The following is a 19116-nucleotide window of genomic DNA, read 5'->3' on the forward strand; positions in this document are numbered from 1 at the left end:
AATTTGTAAAAAATCCAGTAATCGGCAACATGCAATAGCAAAGCACAGTAAAATGAGGCATGCCTGTAAATAGAAACTAATGGTAAAAATGAGACTAATTGTTAATACTTAATGTCAAAAATTTTGGATATAATCAGTTTCAGAAAAATAGAAGATAGGCTCAATTTGAACATATCCACTTGATGCAATTCTTTGACATATTTGTGATCCGTGATCTGACAAAATCTATGATATTTTGCAGGTTCATATGTAATGACTTCTTAGTCTGTTGGAAAAAACAAAGGTACATTTGTCTTTTTTATAAACCACCCCTTTTCTCTAGACATACCCATGTTCTTCTGCCACACAATTCTGCCATGTTATAATAACTGCTGCTAATGATATTAATATTCAAAATGCAAGCAAATAATTTACTTGTTCTTAACTTCTTAGTCTGTTATAAATTAGTTATGCCAATCTAAATCCTTATTTAGCCCATTAATATGTTCAATGTTTACTAACTACCACATGAAGTTTACAGTATATGCCTGATTTTTGGCCTCAAATAAAAAATATCCCATAAATCGTTTACATTTAAATCCTAACTCAAGAAATAGATTTGCTTTCCATTGTAGCTGTCATTTATTGAATACTTACCGTAGGCCAGGCACTGTGCTATGTATTTCATACATATTTTTATTAGCAAACTTGAACAAGATAAGGCTTAGAGAAGCAACTTACTTAAGGACATATAGTATGTAAAAAAGCAAATCTGAACTCAGATTATGGTGATTAAAAACCTTAGCTCTTTACCTCAAGGTAGAAATTTATTTATGTCGTCGATCTTAGGTCATTTCCCTTTTTTTTTCTTTTTATTTTTTAAATTTTTTTATTTTATTTTTTGAGACAGAGTCTTGCTCTGTCGCCCAGGCTGGACTGCAGTGGTGTGACCTGGGCTCACTGCAAGCTCCGCCTCCCGAGTTCACGCCATTCTCCCGCCTCAGCCTCCCGAGTAGCTGGGACTACAGGCACCCACAACCATGCCCAGCTAATTCTGCTTTTGTATTTTTAGTAGAGATGGGGATTCACCATGTTAGCCAGGATGGTCTCCATCTCCTGGCCTTGTGATCCACCTGCCTCAGCCTCCCAAAGTGCTGGGATTACAGGTGTGAGCCACCGCACCCACCCAGTGATTTCCTTTTTCATCATAGGTTCCTTTTGTTCCCTAAAGAGACTAAACTCTAGCATGTAAAATATAGTGTTTTCTTTTTTCTAAAACTCCTATAAGGTGATTATATAACTTTTATAATTACAAAACACTTAAAATTATTTATGACTTTCAGTAATCATATAGTAAAGGAGATATTCTAATTGTTTGCAGAATATTGTAATATAATAACTGGTTAGAAGGTTCTTCAAGAGCCAGATCATCCAGAGGCACTGTGAAGAGTTTGGATTCCATTTAACCACTAAAAGATGATATTAGAGAATTCTGAAAGAAAAAGAGTAACATCATCTATTCTAGTTTATTTGTTTGTTTATGAGACAGGGTCTTGCTGTGTCACACAGGCTGTAGTGACACAATCATAGCTCACGGTAACCTTGACCTCCTAGGCTCAAGCGATCCTCCCCACCTCAGCCTCCCAAGTAGCTAGGACTAGAGGCGTGTGCTACCACATGTGGCTAATTCTATTCTAGATTTTTAAGGATCATTCTAGGAAATATAAAGTTATGGACAATAGACTCAGAACCTGCCCAATGGAAAAAAAGTGAACAGAGGAGAAAACAGCAACATTTGGTCCTCAAACTGACCACATTCAAAGGATTCCAGGGAGAAAAAAAGTTGATGGCTTCTTAATTAAAGGAATAATAACAGCTACTAGAGAACTATGATCTAAGAAGGTAGTATAGCCTTTTAGTTAAGATCAAAATTTCAAGAATCAGATTCCCTAAGTCCTAAACTCACTTTCACCTCTTACTAATTGTATAATCTTAAGCACATTACTTAAATATTGCTAACTCCCTCATAGAATTATTGTGAGAATTAAACACACATATACAGCATTGGTCCCCAACCTTTTTGGCACAAGGGACTAGTTTCATAGAAGACAATTTTTCAATGGACCTGTAGGGGGTAAGAGGCGGGGTGGGGGTAGGGGGCATGGTTTCAGGATGATTCAAGTGCATTACATTTATAATTAGATTTTCATAAGGAGCGCACAACCAAGATCCATCGCATGCACAGTTCACAATAGGGTTCGTGCTCCTATGAGAGTCTAATGCTCCTGCCCATCTGACCAGGAGGCGGAGCTTGGCTTCACTCCTCACCCTTTGCTCACCTCACCTCCTGCTGTGCAGCCTAAGTGCAGGTCAGTGGTCTGGGGGTTGGGGACCCCTGATAAGAGCATCCAGTATCATGTTTAATACACAGTAAGTATTCAATACTATTAAGTAGTGATAATACTCCAAATTCTACATATGCATAAAAACCTAGTCAAGAACTAAAGAGAATAAAACTATTGAAAAAAAGGGAGGGGAAAAAGAAAAATTGAGGTTAGAAAGTTTGTAAGAAATATATATGTAAAACATACAGTAAGTGTTCAACAAATATTTACTAATGATAATATTCCAAATGCTGATGAGTGCAATTATAAATTATTTTTACTTTCATCTTTATACTTTCTATATGACTTTAAATTGTCTACATAAGAATTAGCAATGTTTTCTATCAAAATCAGCTGAAACAAAACTGTTTTTCAACTTTAAAAAATTAGAAACACCAAACTGAGAGCAACATTTCATCATGCACCTTTTTATCACATTAGTGTACCTTTGAGGAAAAAATATCCAATATTCAGTAAAATAATATGCCATTCAGAAGTTGAACATTTTATTACATTCAGAGCATCAATTTTAGAATTAAGACTGCTGGGTTTGAATCCTGATTTTATCATTGTTTATCAACACTAGCTTGGAGATGTTACTCAAGCTTTATGTGCCTTAGATTATTCATCTATAAAATGGAAATTACAATAGTACAGCTCAATAAGTTGTTGGACTTAATTAATACATGTATATCACTTAGACTGCTTACTATGTAATAATGCATTATTCCTTTTAATATCACTATGCTGATCTGCTAGCTCGCTTTATATAAACTATCTTTTCTAATATTCTGTTTCTAAAATCATTGTCAAAAGAAGTCGTTTCTAGACCTTTCTATCTCTGCTCCACTATTTGATATCACAAAGAATTTTTAATCTCAATACATTAGGCCTAAGAGGAAATATGCATCAGTTAAGAGAGTATGTGAAAGACATATTGTAACTTACTATGTCTCTGAAAACAACTGCCCTAAGCCGATTAATATCCATGTCCTGTAGAAGCCTGTCAAGATCTCTTACTGGAGATATACCGCCAGTCACAATGTCCACTGGGCTCTATTTAAGATTAAAAAAAAATTGTATATATATATATTCATATATACATTACACAGATATTCTTTAAAAATAAACACAGTATTCCCAGAACCAGAAAAGCAAAGCTATAGCATTCCTTTCCCCACTTTTTTTGTGTGTATGCTTCCTTCTTCTTTGAGGGGTTGGGGAGAGAGGTGGAGAAAGATGGCATGCAGGAAAAAATGACATATTTGAAGGAAAAGGCATCACAGAAACAATCAAAGTAAACACTGGGAAAAGCAGAGAGGTTTAAATATAAACAAATCTTTATTGTGTATTTAAACACAAATATTTGAATGTTATATGCAGGCCTAAAGTAACTATTTTAATCTCTGCCAGATTTATTTAACTTTATGTTGAAATGAACAAATAAAAATCTTAATTGTAAAATAGGAGTATGCTTTTTGAAAATTAATTAATCTGTATACTTACCTTCGCTGCAGATTTCCCTAAAGGAATAAGGCTATGCATTGGTTTCAAGGCTTTATCTCCCCTAGTTTTCAGTTGTGAATGCTGTTGACACTCCAAGCAATTCCTTACTGCGACTGCACAAACTGTAATTTATTTTAAGGAAAAGATAGGGAAAGAAAAGTTAATATTTAAGATTATGGAAGTGAAAAACATCAACTACACAATATGATTTACATAAGATTTTATTCAAAACAGACGACATTCAGCTTATTCCTAAAATGTCCCTAGACTTTATCGCCTAGTGTTGGTTGTCTGATATTGTTAGCTTCCATGCTGTGGCCCAGTTAAGATTTAGGGAGGCAGTATGGCCTAGTGGTCTAAACGTTTAGGGTTTGCTGAAAGGAAATCAGTTCAGGAATCTTAACAATAGGCTACTATTTCTTAGATCTCAACTAAGCTAGCTGGGACAATCTTTAGTTAAGAAAAGGATAGGGAAGAAAAGAATTGAAAGAAATGGAAGAAAACAGGGAACAAAGTACATTACCATGAACTAGTCGAGGTAACAATCTTCTATTACCATCATTAAAGTAAATTAGTTAAACTGGAAACTTTGATGTTCTTCTTATATTGCATCATTACAGCATGATATTAATTGAGACTAATAGAGGATATAGCTTTTGAAAGAAGCTTTATAGGGTCCAGCATTTACTAGCTTTCATTAAAACTGCTTAGAAAATGGGAGACAGGAAAGGGAATTTGATTAATATACAGTCTAAAATTACCTAAGGCTCCCACGAATCAGGCAGTTAGATTACTTAGAAATTAATTTTGGATTTTAAATGATGAATTACATTATGTACCCTTCACTATGAATTGCTTGATACCATGTAATCATCTAAATTCCCTCCAAATCTGTAGCACTCAAGGTACTTGAACTGAGCAAAGGAGGGAGAGCAAATTAGGAACAAAATAGCAAACTTAAGGGGGGACTTCACAAAGAATCACTGGCCTATCACATGGCTAGCAGGCATGAGAATTTAGAAAGAAAGTGTTCTGAAAGGTGCCCAAAGAGAGCAATAAAAGTTGAAAGAAAGGAAGGAGGGAACAAGAGGAGGGAAGAGAGAATATGGAATACAGCTTTGTCAAATTTGCTATCAGACCCAAGAAATATTTTACTTTATCAAATTTGCTATCAGACCCAGGAAATACTTTTCATACAAACTTTTTCACAAGTTGCATAAAATCAAATTTGAGTCTGTATTACAAAGTTAAAAATCACACCTCATTTCCTGGTTTCAATCAGTTACTCTTACTGCTGTCATCCTAACTTCTAACTCCAACCTCAGGAAACAAGAATGAGGACACCAGTGTCCATCAACAGATAACTAGATAAAGAAACTGTGGTACATATACGCAATGAAATAATATTCAGCCGTAAAAAAGAAAGAAATCATGTCTTTTGCAGCAATATAGATGGAACTGGAGATCATTATCTTAAGTGAAACAAGTCAGACACAGAGAGACAAATATTGTATGTTCTCACTTATAAGTGGGAGCTAAATAGTGTGTACACATGGAAGTAGAGTGCGTAATGATTGAAAATGGAGACTCAGGCCAGCGGTGGGGGCTCACATCTGTAATCCCAGCACTTTGGGAGGCCGAGGCGGGGGGATCACAAGGTCAGGAGATCGAGACCATGCTGGTCAACATGGTGAAACCCCGTCTCTACTAAAAATGCAAAGAATTAGCCGGGTGTGGTGGGGCACACCTGTAGTCCCAGCTACTCAGGAGGCTGAGATAGGGCAATTGCTTGAACCCGGAAGAAAGAGGTTGCAGTGAGCCCAGATCTTGCCACTGCACTCCAGCCTGGCGACAGAGTAAGGCTCCATCTCCAAAAAAAAAAAAAGAAAGAAAATGGAGACTCAGAACTCAGAAGGATGAGGGGGTGAGGGGGGTCTGATGATGAGAAATTATTTAATGGTACAATGTGTGTTATTCATGTGATGAATACCCTAAAAGCTCTAACTTCACCACTAAGCAATCCATGTATGTAACAAAATTGCACTTGTACCCCATAAATTTACACAAATACAATTTAAAAAAAAGATATCACACATTTGGACTGTTACTTTGTTTACCATACTCTATTAAATGATCTTGGACAAGTCATTTTTTAAGTCCCATTTCCATATATAAGAACAGATGGTACTGGGGTGGATTAAATTATCTCTTAATTCTTTTCCGTGGCTATGAAAAACTAGGAACATAGAGTATTTCCCTAGCCTCTGAATCTGATGATTCTTGAGTAAGGCTTTGCTAGTATAGCCTTGCACTTTTACTTCTAGAAATGTACTCTTTCTAGGAAAGTGAAAAGCCTTCGAAAATGGCACACATAAAGCAATAAAGTCTAAATATTTTAATTATAATACTAATAGATTAAAGAAGTATACTACAATAGAAAGAGTAGGAGCACTAGTTAGACAAAAGTATAGTATTCAAATTCTACCTTCACCAATTATAGCTTTTTAGCTATAGATAAGTTTCCCAATTTCTTTTATCTTCAATTTCCTCATGAATAAAAAGAACAAAATTGTCACCGTGAAAATCAACAATGACAAATGACAATAGTCAATAAATGATAACTTTTATTTTGTTATGCTTACAATTAGAATGTCTCTTAAATTTTAAAACAACTGTCTATAAATTGTTATTCCAAGTTACTTAGAATAGCAAGATATACCATTGATTATTAAATATAAAATACTTGGAATTTTACATTTAAACTAATACTATTAAATACTTTGAATAGCATTTTGAGTAAAAATTATACTTGTGGCAAAAAGCACAGGTATACATTAGTTTATGTAACAGACATTCTTGCTAAATATGAAAAAATATGTCATTAACTACATTTTCCACTTCCATGTTATGTTTTCATAGGTGCTTTATCTCTTCATATGACCATGGCTCCTAATGGTTTGCTTCCATTTCTTGTGCCTTCTCTCCTCACCACCTTCTCTTCACTTAATAATCAAATCATTTAACAAAGTCTCGATATTTACAACTATATAGAAGGAAAATTATGCAAAAAAGGGTTTTTTTGTTTTGTTTTTTGCTTCACCTAAGAAGTCCAGTTAACATTAAAAAGTCATTTCATGTATTTTTACTTTTACTTAGGGAAGAAGTGTTTCCAGGAGAAGAACAGAGATTTCATGATTTTATTAACTGCATTAACAAATTACCACAGCTTTTTTGAATAAAGGCTGTACTTGAATGATGCTAGTTTAGAACGTTGTTATTCCAGTGTGTTTGTAAGAAAAGCAGCATCAACATCACCTGGGACTTGGTAGTCAATTTTAGGCCTTACCCTAGACCTCTATAACCCTTTTTTTTTTTGAGACAGAGTCCCGCTCAATTGCCCAGGCTGCAGTGCAGTGGTGTGATCTTGGCTCACTGCAATCTCCAACTTCCAGGTTCAAGCGATTCTGCTGCCTCAGCCTCCCAAGTAGCTGGGATTATAAGCGTGCACCACCACACCTGGTTAATTTTTGTATTTTTAGTAAAGACGGGGTTTCACCATGTTGGCCAGGCTGGTCTTGAACTCCTGACCTCAGGGGATCCACCCACTTTGGCCTCCCAAAGAGCTGGGATTACAGGTGTGAGCCACCACCCCAGCCTAGACCTATATAATCTAATCTGCATTTTAACAAGATCATCAAATTTATGAATCACCTTGTGTTTTTTAATCACCTTAAGTTTATGTATCTCCTTAAAATTTCAGAAGCACTACTTTAGAGCAAAAAGAGATAGGGGAGCACCTCTAATTCCAGCTACTAGGAAGGATAAGGAGGCGGGATCACTTGAGCCCAGGATTTTGACACCAGCCTTGGCAAGAAAGCAGAACCACCATTTCAGGGAGAAAAAAGAAAAAAAAAAAAAAAAAAGATAGGGGAGAGTGGAAACTCCTGACCAAAATCACCTTAGTAAATTTTTCAAAATACATCCTCCTTCTTGCCCATCCAACTTACCAACTACTACTATGTACATTAAAAAAAGTAACCATATGACAAATTAGCTAACATATATTTTCTCACCAACAGAAGACGGATAATTTTCAATGTCATCTCTGAATTACTGAAAAATTTTTTTTAGTAAATTCCCAACGGTTTTTAGCAGCTCACCTAGTCGGAGACACTGCCGCAAAATTCCTCCAGATGACATACTTTTTTCAGCTTCAATTTCAGTAAAGCCAAGAGAACTTGCAAATATAAGCACATCCACAAGGCTAATTAGCCTCTGCAAAAATGTCACAGAGGCTTCTATTGAAAGGCCTTGAGTAGGTTCAATATTTTCCAGTTCATGCTGTAAAGAATAAAGTTTGACATTTATATATATATATTCTGAAAAAAAAATTTTACCAGATATAGTCCTAAAATTTATAAATTGCATAAGTAGTCAGACTTTCAGAAACCTAGTAACACAGAGTGATTTATACTTATTATTTCATCTAAAAAGGGTGGGGGATGAGGAGGAGCAACAGAACCATACAGGTGAAACATCATGAACCACATTCTTCACTAGCTGACTCATACTTAGGGAATCAACATTCTTTTAAGTTCTTTCATTACTAGAACAGATTCTAAGGTCCTCTCAAGTAAAAGATCCTATTGTTTTTTATTTATAGCACCTACGATGCATAGTAACCACCACATTTAAGTTTTAGTCAATAAAGTTGCATAACACTCATGTTTTCACACCAATTTTCTATAGTAATTAAGTCCTTACTGTAGCCGATGTAGCAGCTGAAAGCAATGGCAGTATACCCCCACAAGCCATGACCATATTGTCCATCACTTGAGAGATGAGATGAATTGTGTTGTGTACAAAGATGACATTATCACTGCTATTCACGAAGTCCATAACTGTCTTTGTTGAATGGCTGTCCAAAGATAAATGATATTTACTGATAAAGCTAAAGAAAGGAAATCACAGTTTGCCTACTTGAGGGGAGGAAAGATAAGAAGGTGCTTTTGCTTCATCTTGAAAACTGAAGGAAGATGATGCAGCAGGCATTTGGAGGGTGTATACTTCTTCAGAAGAAACAGACCATTCCATATCAGTAGTTACTATCCATGCCCTCCTTCAGTGCTGAAACATAAATACTATTCATTTTACACTGGATATAAAAAGTTGAAGAAAATTATCCTTACTGGGAACAAAACTAAGAAATCATGTGACAAAAATTAGGAGGTAAATACTGGTAAATGTGCTATTAAAAATGAATTTTCTTCTGTAATGCCTATAAAATGCTTTTAAACATAACAAGAATCTTACACAAATAAAAAAAAATAAATTAGGTCACTTTAAAATCATAAATCATACAATGGGGGATAACTTGAAGTACACAGATTTTTTTTAATGCTAAAAATACATTGGAAATATTGATAATGTTATAACAATTTTTTTTTTTTTTTTGAGACAGAGTCTCGCTCTGTCGCCCAGGCCGGAGTGCAGTGGCGTGGTCTCAGCTCACTGCAAGCGCCACCTCCCGGGTTCACACCATTCTCCTACCTCAGCCTCCTGAGTAGCTGGGACTACAGACGCCCGCCACCACTCCCAGCTAATTTTTTTGTATTTTTAGTAGAGACAGGGTTTCACCGTGTTAGCCAGGATGGTCTCGACCTCCTGACCTTATGATCCGCCTGCATCGGCCTCCCAAAGTGCTGGGATTACAGGCTTGAGCAACTGCGCCCGGCCTATACCAATTATTTTTTAATACTTCTAGTAATAAACCAACTTGATAAACCTACCTTCTGGTGAATTCCGTGCCATAAAATTGCTACAGGAAATCTACTACAAATTTTTTTAAAAGAGAAACCTCTGCTTTTCACATTTTTGTAATCCAGATAAGGATTCCATTCTTATAATGGAGAATAAAAGTGAATTCAGTAAAACCCTACCATAGAATAATTTCTATTCTACTTTTTAACCAAATGTCTGAAATTAATTACAAACTGTTTCTATGGATTTCTTTGAAAATAAAGACTAGGTTTATACACATCTTCCATAATAAACATATAGACAAACCTTCTCCACATCTGTATATCTGTTTCTATTGAAAATAATAGATCAGTGAGCAAACGTTGATGCATCTGAGACCAGTTGAACTCAGGAATACGAAACACAGTAGATCTGGAATCCCTCCTTTGTCCATTAACTGCATCTGGTGCTATTCCTTGCCCTGGCTGCTCATGTTGCCTTGATATCTAATACAGAAATTTAAAAAGTAATAAAATAGGTTCAACTTCAGCAGGAGGCTTTAGCAAAGTAAATAATTTAGTAGCTTCTATGCAATTCATCTAACACGTTTTTAAGACACTATAAGAACCAAATTAGAGAAAGAAAAATTATCAATGAGTAATAACATTAACATTTTAGTACATGTAAGCAAAGCTATCAAAAGTGCAAAACTACCACAATTTAAAAGTAATTAACTTGGAACCATGTTAAGTATTACCACTATGTAGCATTTTATAAAAGAATCAAGTAACAGTTCTTAGTTTTTAGCCTTAGCCTAAAAGAAAGGCAGTATTTAGAATCTAAGTGGCATTTGGATTATGAAGTGGCTAGAATGAAGAATAAAAACAGAGATAACATAATGAAGAACCAACCAACAAAAACAAAAAAAAGGAGGGTGGGACAGAGGATAAGAATTGAATAAAGTGGAAAATGACAACATGCTACCAAGCACTGTCTCATGGGTCACTCTGAGATATGGACAGAGGAGAAGGCTGTGCCTCTAGATCTCACAAAGCCTCCTCTCTCTTATAGACTTCATAATACAATTTTAAATCACATGCTTAGTAACTAAAATTATACACTGGCAGGTAGGTAGCCCTAGAGTTTGTTGGAAAACTAATGTACTAGGATTGGGTTAGTCAAATAAAAGGTAAAATGCAAGTGTTTCCAATATTTGTTTTATAAACTAAAATTATACCAATCCTTCAAAGTGGTAACTTCTGGTGATACTATGGTAAAAATAGTAATAAAAACTGTCATTTAATGAACTCACATTAACTGCCAAACACTGTGCTAATGATCTGAAATACAATCTTCACATTCATTGCATTTATTTAGTTGTGAATAGCATGTGAACCAAATTCAAAATAAAATAAAATTTAAGTATATACACTTGCTCTTTTTTAACTCAGTGCAAAAGTACTTGAATAAGACAATATATAAAATCACCTCAAGCACATGTCGATGAGGTTGAGGTGCTTCCACGTTGGGACTGGCCTTCAACTCCAGCCTCTCAGTATCTGTAGCAACATTGGAAACATCCAACTTCGCAATCTTTTGCTCAGAAGAAGCCTCAGAGACACTACCATGACAATCATTAATTAATTTGGTTTCTCTAGTGAGGTTAGTTGCTTTCTTCCCTTCCTCCAGCATCTGACCAAGGTCTGATTCTACAGCTATTTGGGAAACAGTAGTTTCTGGTGACATAGCTGAAGACCCTGATGCTGTCATAGTCTGAATTCCAGAATCTTTAGAATCTTGAGTTTCAGTATCAGTTTGCTTTTCAGTAACAGGTTTTCCTTCTTGAAATATTAATTTGTCATCATTACCAAACATGTCCAGTTTTTCACCGGCTTCAGATGCAGCTGGAGACAAACTGTTATCTTGGAGCTCTGTGGGTAGATTAGCTTCCTCAGTAGGACTGCCTTCTACTTTCAGTTCCACATAATCATCATCTTCCTCTTCCTCTACTATAGATTTATCCAAGAATTCTGGCATCTCTGAGGCATCCTCTTCTGAAGGAGAACTTATAGAAGCAGTTACTTCACTGACAGTCATTGAATCTTTGCCAGTTGTTATAAAAGAATTAGAGGAAATAGCCACAGCTTCTATTATGTCAGAAGATACTTCTAAATCATCTGCATTCCTTGTCTCATTTGTCAGTGTTTCTTCCAAAGTGCCTTCATCTGGTAACTCCTGATTTTCTTGCTCAGCTTTCATTTCTTCATAAGATGTATTAGTAGTTTGCAGTTCAATATTAGATGCAGATTCTAGTGAACTTGTCTTCTCTATACTTGAATTTTCATTACCATTTGTGGTGAAATGAGGACAGACAGGAGAATCCTTCGTATCTGGTTGCTGGGATCCTACTGAAACATTAATATCCCTTCTAATGCCAGAGGCTGCTTGAACTGAAGTTGAAGAACACAGCCCTATTTCTTCATCAACTTTTCCTTGCTGTTCCCTAAATATATTGGCAAGGTTTTCTTTGTGTATTTCAAAAGTGACCTAGGTGAAAAATGTACAATCAGTTAAAATATGCATGAGAAATGAAGACAGAATACAAAATATAAAACTAAATAATTTTCAAATACATAGTTTATATAATACAATAAAACTTAATTTTCCTATATTTTATTTTAGTAGAATGATAAATGTAAGTCAATCACAGAAATCTAAATATTCATTAAAAACTACAGCCAATTTTAATGTTAACAAGTAACACAGCATGAAACCACAAGAAGAACATAATTATTTAGCCTATTATTAAACATGTATAGGAAAAGGATACACTATTCTACTGGCCACCATAACTTGTACCAGAATTTAAGTATGTACCATTGGGAAGTGCTTTATGCACTGGATAACACTTGTTTCAACCGCTATGAATACCAATTTCCCCAGGACTTGTCCGCAGGAGAGATTAAAAATATCAATTAATTATGCTCACCATTACAGTAGCTCTACAGATATCTATTAAGCTACAAAACCATTATCTCACTAAGCCAATGAATACAAATTCTTTTAGCAATGGGAGAAAAAAGATCCAGCCCTTCCCCCAAAGGTTAACCATAATTTCCAAAGTTTGAACTGGTCGAAAATAGTCTGAATGTTTCAGTTGATCCATCCATACATCCATTCATTCCATTTATATCTGAGTGACTACAATATATTAGGCACCGTGAACATTCCTATATCATGCTTTGCCTTTTACCCAAATGGGAAAAAACTGAAAAAGTAAATTTTTTTTTAAAGAGAGTGCTGTACTTGTTAATGTCACAAGATTTAGAATTTTTAAAATCTAAGGATTATCTTATAGCCACCATCATATGATTTCCATTGGTGTTTCAATGGTAACCCCCATCACCCCTTGCAACAAAAATGCCAGAAAAACCTATAACACATGCAGAAAGTATTAGCCTAATTATAGTTTATTAATCCCAAAAGTGTTTGTTTCTGTAATCTACATTATTATATAGAGTAAACTGAACATTCATTCAATAAATCTTTATTGAGCCATAGTATAAGAGGATGATAGGACAATCAAGGAAGAAAAGCTGATTTTTTTATCCACAAAAATCAATAGGCCTTATTGAATCACAAGAGTATACACACAGATGAAAAGCAAACAAAAGTAAAAATGACTCTCAATGCAAAAATTTCCTTCTATCGACATTAACTCGCCTTTACTCATGACATATACAGAACATTCATGCCATGTGATATACCTAAAAATAAAAATGTTCAGGGAATGAATATTTTCCTGTGAATATTTGTATTTTTCCTAATTGTAACTATTTCCACATTGTAACTATGTTCTTAATTCTAAAACTTAGAAATCTTTTTATAATATTTCAACAATAAATGCATGTATTCCTCACTAAACAGTAAAATGACATAATCACATTAACAAAATATCAATTTCTTTTACATTCACAATGCCAATATTTTATTTGACATGGGTTCTGTATTTTAATTGACCAATTCCTCATATTCATTCAACAAAAATTTACTGAACATCGGTAGCAGGCCAGGCATTGTGTGATGAACACATTGTTCCTGACTTCATGGAGCTTATATTCTAAAGAAGGTGTCAGAAAATAAACACACGAATATGTAAGATAATGTCAAATAGTAATAAGAGCTTTGAAGGGAGGGGGAAGTACAGAGTGAAGAACTGTTCTGAAAGTCTAGGCGAGAAGGTGTATTTACTAGTGTAACTGCAGTAGGCCTCTCTGTTCTATTTGAACAAAGGCAAGAATAAAAGAGAGAGCAAGCCATGTAAAAAGAAAAGAGTTTCAGGCAGAGAAGAACAAATGCAAAGGCCTTGGAGCTGAAATAAGCTTGGTATGTATGATGAATAACAATAAAGCAATAAACTGAGAACTAAAGAAAATGAGGTCAAAGATGTGGCCACGAGCTAGATTATGATTGTAGAACATTATAGACTGTATTAAAGACTGTATTTTATTCTGAGAGAGCCATTTGAGAATTAAGAGTGTAGGGAAGACAATCTGATTTCCCTTTTTAAAAGATCAGTGGCTGGGCACGGTGGCTCACGCCTGTAATCCCAGCACTTTAGGAGTCCAAGGTGGGCAGATCACCTGAGGTCAGGAGTTTGAGATCAGCCTGGCCAACATGGTGAAACATTGTCTCTACTAAAAACACAAACATTAGCTGGGCATGGTGGCACACACCTGTAATCCCAGCTACTCAGGAAGCTGAGGCAGGAAAATTGCTTGAACCCAACCCAGGAGGCAGAGGTTGCAGTGAGCCAAAATAGCACCACTGCACTCCACCCTGGGTGACAGAGTGAGACTCTGTCTCCAAAAAAATAAGACTGGTTAGCCTACTTTTTGGAAAACTGACTTTAGAGAGAGCATTTCTCCACCAACAAACAATTATCATTGTCAAAAGAAAGCAAGTTACATATTACCAACCTCACAGTCATTTTGAAAATAGGCCATTTATTTCTACAATAGCCTGTGTTATAGAATGACTTTAGTTTTCAATAATCATTTGCTTTGATTTTATTTATATTAAAGGTTTTTAGAATTTGTATTATACAATGGATCAATAAACATGAGTATATGTAATTTATATGTACAGGTTAAGAAACAATTTTTTTTAATCTCACATGCCTACCACCCATGTCAAGAAGTAAAACGTTACCAGTACCTCACAATTCCCCTATGTGCCCTGCCCAAACTGTACTCCCTATTTCTCCACTACAATCAGAAAAAAATCACTATCCTGGTATTTCTATCGTTCACTGTTTATAAATAGTTTTACCTGGAGGTCAGAGCTTTGGGAGATAATTTTAAAAGATAGTTTTACTATCTATATACTAAACATACCCATTATGTTTAGTTTAAAAAACTAAGTCTAACACAAACCTAGCCAATTGTATTTTAAAGAGCAATACTGCCACACCTGAGCTCCCAAGAAAAGACAAGATACACAGAATCTGTGAGTTGCAGCAGGGCTTCAGCTTATTTGAGAGAATATGTAAAGCCATTTCTGGGAAGTCTTATAGGCAAGTCATTAGGAAATACAGGAAATATAGAGGTCAAGAGAACTGGAGAACCTATCAGAGGCAGTGTGTGCCAGGTAGAGTGTATTGGCATGAAATACTTTATATTTTTCAATTCTAAGCTCACCATGGTGAACCTCTACCCTAAGAAGTAGGTCGAAGCACAGCATGTCTTTGTGGAGTGAAGTGAGAATCTTCAGGTGATTCACATTAGACAGGAAAACAGGAATTTAATCAGCACATGATGAAGGCAAGCAAGCTAAGTACTCCTAATAAGAATACAGGTCCACCTCTCCTGAGTGAAACTGCTCCAGTCCAGATGGACTGTCATCTGCCTACTACATAGCTGCTATTGGGATCTCCCTTTCTACAGTCCTGGAGATCCCCTTCATCTCTCTTCTATGTTGTCTCTTGTTTCTTATATTTCATTTCTTCCTCTTTGTATTATTCTCTCCTTTTGTGCAATATCCTGCAGTGCCTTCTTAAGAAAGGATGTATATAAATGTTTTGAGATCTCAAATCCTGAAAAGGTATTTATTCTCGCTTCATACTTGATTAATAGTCAGAGTATAAAACCACAGATAGAAAAGCATTTACCTTCAGAATCTGAAATGCTTTTAAAATTCTAAAGTCATTTGGTTTTTAAATTTGCCCTTAATTTAATTCATCCAATGGTCTAAAAGCTAAATTGCAATTGAACAACTATCAGTATTATCTTTTTGGATGCTGTTTTCCTTAAGATATTTGTGACTTTAAAACTGATAATTTCCAATTAATTGCCAGATATTGTTCTAAATTACCCAGCTAAAAGACTAGTCATTAATCTTCACAATCATTTGATAGCTAATCTATAGCTGTTTGTAATGTTTGGAAAGCACTTCTATAAACTACTAGTTAAAGATACTTGTGAGCTAATGACTATAACATTTCTTTTGCCATTATTTTCAACTTAATTGGCACTCAAATTTACTAATTAGTAGATAAAAGATAAACACAATACATCCAGATGTTAATATTATCTTTTTAATCTATACATTAAAACCGTATAACCTGTAAAATTTAGACATTTTAAACTGTTAGGCAATGTTTAGCAACTGACTTTGTTTTTAAGCAAAGGCATCTTTTTCAGTGTCTGTTTTCATATGAAAATACCAGCTAAATATGATGTTAACTTCTGATTAAGTTACCAACCTTTGATAAATAAGATATATCTTTAAAAACAGGTGGATCTTCCCATATGTATTATCAATGAGCATAAGTCAAAATGATTGCCACCACATTAATGAGATCTTTTATAAAGACTCTGATGTATAACAATGGTATAGGTAACAGATATAATGGTAAAATCAAGCATTACTGACATAATTAAGAGCAATTCTAAAGGTTGGTAGTACAATCCCCATTTATAAAGATAGGAAGAACACTGACAAAAGAATATTGCAGCAAATAACTTCTAATCTTTTCATTTTTAAAACAGTCATTTTGATCAATTTTAATTTCTTAAAAACAGTCTAAACAGATGCTTTCATGCAAATCTAGCGTATAAACTGGTACAAATTTTTAGAGGGCAATTTAGCAATATCTACTAAAAACTTTTTAAAACATGTACAGACTCCTTCCTCTGGAAATTCCACTTACAGGAATTTATCCTACAAAATAAGGGTTACAGTATTGAACCAGGCTCATCATTGGTCAATGATAAGGAACAGATAAAGTATGATTATAATATAAATCAATAGATTTTTTAAATCTCTCTTCCATCAATTTTTCTAAATACAATTTTGGAGAATGCCAGAATATAAAAAGAAAACTTGAATCATTTACACGGTCACTCCTTCCTAGAATTTTAAGTGGTCTGATAACATTCAAATGTTATATCAAAGCTGAATCTTATGCTCTTTACTTCTCCATAATGTCATATAATATGCAGGCATTAAAATTCATGTAAGAAGCATATCATTAAATAATACTCTAAAATAGTAAAAATACGATCACATTTTGTTAGCAAATAATTATATGTTATGTATAGATTCATGTATAGAAGAGAAGACTAAAAGGTCTCGCACTAAAATGTTAATAAGTTATACATAGGTGTTTGGATAATGGATAATTTTTGTTTTCTGTGTGTATGCATTTCTGCTGGGTTCAAGATTTCCTGTAATGAAAACTTATTATTATTTTAAATTTTTTAAAGTAATAAATGCTATTTGGTTTCAAAATGTTAAAGCTAAGAATACTTTTAGCCAGGAACAAAGGTACATGCCTGCAGTCCCAGCTACTGGAGAGGCTGAAGGGAGAGGATCACTTGAGCCAAGGAGTATGAAGCTGTAGTGTGTTATATATAATGGCACCTGTAAAGAACCACCGCACTCTAGCCTGGGAAGCACAGCAACAGTCTGTCTCTCTCTCTTTTTCTTTTTTTTTTTTAAGTGCCATTTAAATTTGATAAAAACACACACACAAACACTCACACAGAAATCAGGTATTTTTAAAGAATTATTTAGCAATTAAATAAGGTGCAAAGTGCTGATAATCCATGAAATGCGGACATTTTGTAACTTTTTTATTTTTGTAATTTTTGTGAGATATCTCCTTTCATCACCCAGACTGAAGTGCAGTGGCACAATCTCAGCTCACTGCAGCTTCAGCATCCCGTATTCAAGTGATTTTCATGCCTTAGTCCCCAGTAGCTGGGACCACAGGCATGCACCACCACTCCTGGCTAATTTTTGTATTTTTAGTAGAGACAGGGTTTCACCACGTTGACCAGGCTGGTCTCAAACTCTGGCCTCAAGTGATCCACCTGCCTCAGCCTCCCAAAGTGCTGGGAGGCATGAGCCACCATGTCCAGCCAATTTTGTAACTTTTGAAATTTCTTCAAACAAGTCGCTTTTAATCTTATCATACAGCCACCATAAACACATATACATTTTTGTATATGCCAGTTCATATCTTATGATTTAAAAAATAATTTTAATAAACCAATTAGAGAATTCTTTAAAAAAAAATCTTATTTCCACATGCTTTTACCCAATCTAAATGGTAGTTTTTTCTTATGTACAGTGACTGAAATGTATACTTCAGATATTTCATTTCTTATGTACAGTGACTGAAATTTATACTTCAGATATTTCATCAGTAAACAGCAAGTAAAATCTTCAGATATTTCAAAAAATCCAAGATAATTAAGGACTTTATCCTCAAATTCACTATTTAGGAGGAAATCCAATTCATATTATACTTTTAACTCTAACATGACTAATCTTTATTCATTTTAAGTCATAAACCCATTCTAACTTATGGCAATATGAGTCTAGACAAAATACAGTATCTAAGGTGTTAGTTTTATGTGTTTAGAAAAGAATGTGTTTACAAAATTCTCATAATTCAGAATAGTTTAAATGCCTTAATTTAAATTTTAATTAATGAGTAAAAGCATTTTATCATACCAAGTGAAAAAAAGTATTACTTAAGCACAGAAAAATGTTCAATTTGAAGCCAAAAACAAACAAAAAAAAATGAAAACCTAGACAACAAATAAGACAATGAAATCACAAACGTTACTAGGTGCACTCTTTAAAACCCTGAGATCAAAGTAACCAACATAGTGCAGTTATACTAGAAGAGCCTATTACTGCTTATAAAACCCAGTTCAGCTGCTGGAGGAGAGGCATATAGTGACAAACAGCTTCCCTGCTACAAAGGTGGCAGGAAATCTATCAAACTGGACAATAAAACTGCAATTGAGTTTCTTTGGCTTTTTATAGCAGCAGCATGTATCCTGATGTAACTCTGCAAAAGCTATCCAATTCTGCAACATTAGTTCTTTACACATCAGTTCTTTATCAAGAACCATGTTATAAATTTGGGATATTGAGATTCAAAATGACTGCAAAAAGGAAAAAGCATCACTTTAACACTGTATGTATAAAAGTA

The 19116-nt window shown here is 34.7% G+C and overlaps 1 protein-coding gene across 9 annotated transcripts in view; it reads right to left on the reverse strand.

Moving 5' to 3' along the window:
• The window catches only part of LRBA (LPS responsive beige-like anchor protein), a 751293-nt gene that overhangs the window by 576354 nt on the left and 155823 nt on the right, over positions 1 to 19116 (reverse strand). For all 9 annotated transcript variants that reach the window (XM_047416462.1, NM_001367550.1, NM_006726.5 and 6 more), the window contains exons 23-28: positions 11097 to 12155; positions 9936 to 10114; positions 8634 to 8787; positions 8030 to 8210; positions 3870 to 3991; positions 3312 to 3419 (exon numbers count right to left, since the gene is read on the reverse strand). In XM_047416462.1, the coding sequence (XP_047272418.1) occupies positions 3312 to 3419; positions 3870 to 3991; positions 8030 to 8210; positions 8634 to 8787; positions 9936 to 10114; positions 11097 to 12155 (1803 nt within the window). The remainder of the gene's footprint in view (positions 1 to 3311; positions 3420 to 3869; positions 3992 to 8029; positions 8211 to 8633; positions 8788 to 9935; positions 10115 to 11096; positions 12156 to 19116) is intronic.

Source organism: Homo sapiens, chromosome 4 (assembly GCF_000001405.40).
Source record: "Homo sapiens chromosome 4, GRCh38.p14 Primary Assembly".
Lineage (NCBI taxonomy): Eukaryota > Metazoa > Chordata > Mammalia > Primates > Hominidae > Homo > Homo sapiens.